The sequence below is a fragment of the Homo sapiens genome, chromosome 10 (assembly GCF_000001405.40).
Source record: "Homo sapiens chromosome 10, GRCh38.p14 Primary Assembly".
In the NCBI taxonomy this organism is placed as follows: domain Eukaryota; kingdom Metazoa; phylum Chordata; class Mammalia; order Primates; family Hominidae; genus Homo; species Homo sapiens.
The window spans coordinates 68,250,198-68,257,494 of NC_000010.11; the positions used below are offsets into that span (position 1 = coordinate 68,250,198).

At 42.2% G+C, this 7,297-nt stretch overlaps 1 annotated feature.

Moving 5' to 3' along the window:
• Window positions 582-1,082: an enhancer, noted in NCBI's record as "H3K4me1 hESC enhancer chr10:70010536-70011036 (GRCh37/hg19 assembly coordinates)". NCBI's record gives its function as "activates a minimal SCP1, AML or CMV promoter by ChIP-STARR-seq in naive H9 embryonic stem cells {active_cell/tissue: H9 hESC(naive)}" and the evidence as "EXISTENCE:reporter gene assay evidence [ECO:0000049][PMID:30033119]".

Genomic DNA, 7,297 nt, shown 5'->3' on the forward strand with positions numbered 1-7,297 from the left:
ATGGCTGGATCCTCATCTCTTTGATGAAAAACAAGGAAGTTTAACAAGTCAGAGCAAGGGAGAAATAAACAAGTTAAAGAATTTTCATACAAATTTAAGACTATGGAGTTCAATTGTAAAAATGTTAAAAGTTGAAGGTTTTAAAACTAGCACTACTACTTCAACACTACTGTTCCTGCCTATTTTAACAGGCCTATCCTATGGCTGGAATTATTATTATCATTATTGTCATCTTTAACACCCAAGGTTTATGAAAAAGTGCATTAATGTACCAGGCACTATATTAAGCCCCTTCAACATATCATCTTACCTCATCCTTTCAGCAGCTCAGTGAAGGGGGTATATTATCATACCCATTTACAGATGAGGAAAGCAAGTTCCAGGGAGGTTAGGAAACTTGCCCTACATACCTTTTGCTGGTGAGTCGTGGAACCTGGATTTGCCTGACTGCAGTGCACAACCTCTTAACTGCTCTAAAATCTTATGTAAAGAAAATCTTATGTAACTACTACAAAATCTTTTATGTAACTACTACAAAATCTTATGTAAAGAAAAACGGGTCTGCTTAAAATGGAGTTGGCACATTGAACATAATTGAACATAATGATTCAATGTTGCTACATGCAGAGGAACCTCCATGTCTCCCTCAGGCTAGAGACAATGTGGTAAGGCATTTGGGGCTTACACGTATTGCACTGACAATCAAATCTCCAGGCCCTGGATAAATAATGGCTAACCTCATCCTTACTCTGTCTTAGCATGACAGCCAGGCTCAACACTAACCCCTAGTAAACAGACTCTTCAATTCAACTTATCAATGCACTGCGAAGATGTCCGACTTCATTGCAACAATCCTGGGAGGATGCTCTGAGCTCTGCCCTGCCCATTAGAGGCTGTAAGTTTGTGCAAATAACCATAAAATTAAACCCACCCAGGGAGGGCCATTGATTTCCAATTGGCACAGTTTGCCAGATGCTGTTTGGTCTAAGAACTGCCTTGACCTCTAGTAGTGACGCCGCCTGCCCTTGGCTTTGCGGGGTGTGTTCCCAGCAGGGAAGGCCTCTCCACTAATGCTTGCTACTGGAACTTGGGCTGAAAATGTGGTGGGTTCCCCATATGTTGCAGGGGAGAGGCCAGCCACACCTGGCGTTGGATTCAACCTCTTATCCAACCCTGGGGCTGAAGCCACCCCCAGGAGATTACAGACGCTCCCACCCCCAACTAATTAAATAGGTGGCCTCCTGCTGTTAAAAGGGAATGAGGGCGGAAAAACAGAGGATGCCTGATTTAACTAGGACCTGGGTAAGTAGCTTACCAGCCAGACCCAGAAATCACCGATGCATGCCTAAGCAGTCTCTAATGGGTCAGGGTGGTTCTATGCCTGAGATCTGGAGTTCTGCTTATTCTCAGCTTCCTTTGTACTTTCAAACCTGTAGTCCAAAACATTCATCATGGAAGCTTTACAAATTATTAAAAATAATATTGTTCTATTAATGAGTATATCTTATACAGCTATTATTACACACCAATCCTTGTGTTCAAACATTGGAATAAAGTGACTATTCAAAGACATTATTTGTTTCTTGTAGTACAACCTGAAGACAGTTCTACCCCCTTCCACACACACACCCACTCGCACACACACACAGAGAGTAGGCTTCTGAATGCAAAGCAAAGTGTTTACCTAAGTTACCAGTGCTAAATCTAAATATCCATGCAATTATAAATTTAGATGGAAACTAAAATTGTGTTTCCAATTAAGGAAAGAAACCCCTTAGACTTTTTCAGTTCAGCCTAACAAGCAAGTTACTAATTGTTTCAGTTTTGGTTTTGCTACAAATCATTTAGAAGGAAAGAGGATCTGAGGTGCAAAGAGGAAGGCAATTGTAATAATGGGAAATTGGACTAAATTAAAATGATCCTAAGTCACAGCACAACTAGGCCTCTTTGCCACCAACTTTTGACATTCTAATTAGGGCAAATGATTATGCAAATCCAGTCAGTCGCTCTTTTCCCCCCAAGCTGAAGTGCTTGTGATTGTTCAAGTGAGGACTGTTGGTGGCGTAATTAAAGCTCTCCTAAAAATTAATTGAGAATCAGAGGACAGCCTCCAAAGATGCCCTAATTTGTGGGCAGCCCAGCACAGCTGTCCTTTTGTCCTGCCTGCCACCAGGACGCCTCGAGTTTCCCCATCAAGTATAATAGAATGTGACACTTGAGGTGTTCTCAAGCCTTGGTCCTCATGAGTGGAGTGGAGGACAGGACAGCAGGAGTCCAGCACACCTAGGTCACCTCCTTCTGGGCATGTTAGCTGAGGAAACAGGGTTGGAGGGTGAACCCAAACATGGAGCACAGAGCACCTGAGTTTGGGGGCACCTATGAAATAAAATTGATCATGGGTTGATAAGCATTGAAACTGCATGACATGTACTTGGTTGGTTGGTGGCGGGGTAGGGTAAGTATAGTAATTTGCTTTGCTTTTGTATATGTTTAAAATATTAATTTTTTAAAATTAATGCATGCAATGCCAAAAATAGCATCTGTTATGGAGAGAAAGTTAATAGCAAAAGTCAGCTTTTGGTTATCTTTTAATGGGGCAGAGTTCTGGAGACACTAATCTTTAAAAGTGGGTATACTGTTCTATTACTTCTCCTTAATCACCTCTCATTACATGAACAACACATCCCCAGATCTGGCCCTTACTCTTCTCAGTTTAGCCCTAACGCTTGGAAGAACAAAGACTGAGTGGCTAGGAAAGAAACCGAACCAAGTGAGAGGCAGAAGAGCTCTATGTGGGGGAGAAAAGTAAGAGAGATCCCCAGGTAATCCAGCCAGAGGATAACTGAGAGCTGACTGTGAATTACTTCTATGTCATAAAAACCCAATACTATCCTATCTGACTTTAAAAGAAAAATAATTTACATAAAGCTCCTAAATTAAAAAAATAAACAGTTCCAGAAAACCAAGGGGCAAACTCTCTACAGAGTAACAAGCTCCCCGGGACAGCAATGAGTAAGAATGCCGAGGGAGAAGCAGTCGATAGTTTCAGCTCTGTAGGTGGAAGTTTTTAAATCTGGGGAGCACCTTGGCTGTAGGAATCATACCACCGGGTAGCTGCCGGCCTTGGAGATCACTCATCTTCCCTGGTGCAGCATGATGCTTTTTTCTTTATCTTTTAGGAGTATCCATGACTGGGGTAATTAATTAGCTCATAAAAAGCTGCTCCAACCAGGCTGTGCCCAGTGTTTCCTAGCTTTGTTAGGAAAACTTGAGAGAATCAGTGTGGCTGAATTAACTGGTCTTCAGGTAATAACTAAATCAAAGATGTCTTGGGTACCCTGGGAAGCTGGAGTCTCCTCTTTCCTGTGAATCAGTCAGCTCAAGATTGATGAAGGGCTGCTAAGGTCAGGCTTAGAAACACAAAACCATCTGCCAACTCTCTAGGGCTGGTATCTGCAGTAGAGCAATTTTAGAAGAACAGGTGTTCACTTTTAACTTACCTCTTCTTTTCTTTTATGCTGAAATCGTGATTTTTAGCTAGAAAGTACCTCCAGTTGGTTGATGAGATACACAGACTGTCTACTGTAACTTAAAATAACCTGGCCCAAAGGTATAGAGATAACTTCAGCTGACTATCACCCAAAGTCATAGGCCATGCATCCCTGGCAGTGGCCACTCTGGCTTCCCCAGAAGTATTTGGCAGCATCAGGAAACAGTGACTAGAAGTCACTGCCCCAAAAAGATTAAGCCAAGGAACACTGTTTCACCCTCGGAATGATGCAGGACTGTGGAAAAGATTCCATTTGGCCCATCTACTTTGCAGAGCATGCTCAAGAGCCACAAAGTCCTTGCAAGCTGACAGTTAAATGCTTCTGGTTCCTTGAAAGTATCTTCCAGCTCAGTAGTCTGAGAACATTTTCAAAAGTCTTTGATGATGAACTGTAAGCACACCCATATGTTTGGTCATGATGGTTCAATGACAGGGGGTGTCTTTGCTCAATACAAAAAAGGTTCAAGATTTATATCAAGTTTTCTTCTTTTTTTTTTGAGACAGAGTCTTGCTCTGTTGCCCAGGCTGGAGTGCAACGGTGCGATCTTGGCTCATTGCAATCTCCGCCTCCCGGCTTCAAGTGATTCTCTTGCCTCAGCCTCCCGAGTAGCTGGGATTACAGGCTCCCGCCACCATGCCCGGCTAATTTTTGTATTTTTAGTAGAGACAGGGTTTTGTCATGTTGGCCAGGCTGGTCTCAAACTCCTGACCTCAGGTGATCCACCCGCCTCGGCCTCCCAAAGTGCTGGGATTACAGGCGTGAGCCAACGCACCCGGCCAAGTTTTTTTTTTAGTGAAGGTATCCTTGTTCCTGCTAACCAGTTATGTTCCCATCTTCCCAAAAATATGAGAAACTTCCCAAAACTCTCATGTGGCAGATTCTATTTTCCAAAGGTAGCTGCAGTTAAATATATTTCATCCTGTATGCTCTTCTTACAACGTGATATTGACGCTTCTCTATCAAGAGGTTAGATTCATGGTTCCTGTCCCTTGAGCCCCGATAGAACTTTGTAAATGCCTCCAACAGTGGAATGTAGCAGAAGTGAAACAGTGTGAGTCTAAGTCACAAAAGGTGACACAGCTTCCACTTGGCTCCCTCAGGGCATGTGCCTTATGAGCTAAGCCAATGTGGATGAAGTCCAGTGATCCTAAAGCTTCCGTGCTAGAAACATCATATGAAGAGACCACATAGAATTAAAGATGCTCAAGGAGCTCTAACTGTTCCAGCTCCCGGCTGTCTTGAGTGTTCCTAACCCAGGCTCCACATATGTGAGCAAACAAGCCTTTAGATGACCACAACCTCTGCCTTTGAGCCACTCAGTTGAAACCAAGAGGAGCACAGACAAGCTTTCCCCATTATGTCCTGTACAAATTCCCAACCCACAGGATCTGTATGTGTAATAAATGGTTGTTTTATGCCTCTAAATTTTGGGAGTAATTTGTTACACAGAATAGTAACTAGAACAACACTTGAGGGGTATTCCTTGAAGTGTGAAAGGGCATTAGGTTTGCAGTCGTATAGCCTGGTTTTGAATCCAGACCTAACCACTTTACTGAGTGACCTTAAGAAGGTCAGTTTCCTTTCTGAGCATTGCTTTCCTCATCTATAAAATGGGGTTAATAATGGCTACCCAGGCTGGGCACAGCGACTCACGCCTGCAATCCCAGCATTTTGGGAGGCCAAGGCGGGCGGATCAATTGAGGTCAGGAGTTCAAGACCAGCCTGGCCAACATGGTGAAACCCCATCTCTAATAAAAATACAAAAATTAGCCGGGTGTAGTGGCAGGTGCCTGTAATCCCAGCTACTCAGGAGGCAGAGGCAGGAGAAGCACTTAAGCCCAGGAAGCAGAGGGTGCAGTGAGCTGAGATTGCACCACTGCACTCCAGCCTGGGTAACAGAGCAAGACTCCATCTTAAAAAATAAAAATAAAAAATAAAAATAAATCACTACCCAAATATACATCACATTTAAAAATTAAGATGCAAAACAGTGTGATTAGTAGGCTACCGTTAATGTTAAGACATATGTATATGCACAGAGACATATGTACATAGACAAATGTACCCACACTGATACATTTGTACATGTATAAACTTAACTAGGAGAATAAAAATTTGAAAGAGTGGTTGCCTCTGAGGAAGGGAATGGTAGATTAGGGATCAGAGCTGGGAGGGAGACTAACTCTGTATACTTTTACATTACTTGAATCATTTACCAAATGTTTGCACTAATAATTTTGAAACAATTATAAAATTAAAATAAATAAAATTTTGGAAATTTTATGGCAAATTTTGTGTAACAAGTATAAAATGTTTAATAAAAATAATACTTAAGGCTGGGTGCAGTGGCTCACGCCTGTAATCCTACCACTTTGGGAGGCTAAGGCGGGCAGATCACTTGAGGTCGGGAATTCAAGACCAGCCTGACCACCATGGTGAAATCCCTTCTCTACTAAAAATGCAAAAACTAGAGGGGCATGCTTGCGCATGCCTGTAATCCCAACTACTTGGGAGGCTGAGGCAGGAGAATCACTTGAACCCGGGAGGTGGAGGTTGCAGTAAGCCGAGATCATGCCATTACACTCCAGCCTGGGTGACAGAGAGAGACTCCATCTCAAAAAAAAAAAAAGAAAGAAAGAAAAAGAAAAGAAAAGATTTTCAATAGGAGATTGAGGGGATTGGTTGAATAAATTGTGGTATAGCTATACTTGGAATAAAGTTCAAACATTAGAAAGAATAAGCTAGAGCATGAGCTAAAGAGTCATGTCAGTTGACTGTTACATCAGAAAGAAGGAGGTGCAGAGAGGGTTATAGAACATGACACCATTACTTTAAAACAAACATGTAAAACAAAAATCATATGTAATTGTGTTCATGAGCTGATATATTATTATATGAACATGGAGAAGAGAATGGAAGAATGTACCACATTGCCAACAACAATTTAATGGGGTGGAGGATGGGGAGGGAGGAAGACTAGTTAGGGAAGGAAGAAGTGAGAGTTGGGGGAAAGAGGAAAAAGACTCAGTATTTGCAGATGGAACTCTGAGCAAATACAGGAGTAGAAAACTAAGCACTCAGCATTCAATAAAAGCCCTGCGATAAGGAGGCGAATTCCACATGAGTGGAATACGCCTAACTGTGGACACACAGACACAGGGATCCAGGGTGAGAGAAACCAATCAGGGAGAGGAGGATATCTGTGCAAGCAAGCATGGTGGTAGCTTGGAATGGGAATCAGAGTCCAGGCAGAGATAGGACGGCTCTCTTGCAGAGTATGGGGTGCAGAGATATGAGATGGGTTAGGTATAGGGAGATTGATCAAATAAGTAAATATATTAAGGATAATGGAAATTAGGTTTCTCACTGATGGTGAAGGGAGTTACAAATGCAGAAAGGACTGGTCATGTTGAATTAGAATTGGAGGTATTCATTTGAATTCATGGCTTTCAACATATATAGATATAGAAATAAATATAAATGAGTGCATGTGTGTGTGTAAAACACATATTTCATAACTCTGTCCACTGAGAGAGGCTGGAGCAGCAACATCCAATAGCAATGAGTAGATCTGACAACTAGATTCTGGCATCTAAGCTGTCATTTTGCACTAGAAGGAATCAGGGCTCCTTGTAGAAATGGCTGATTCCAGGGCTGGTACTTGGAAAATACAAGATACACTGGACTACCTATCTTATCATTCCAAAAAGCAAAGAAGTGCTCAAAGAGTGATGTAGACAAAAGCC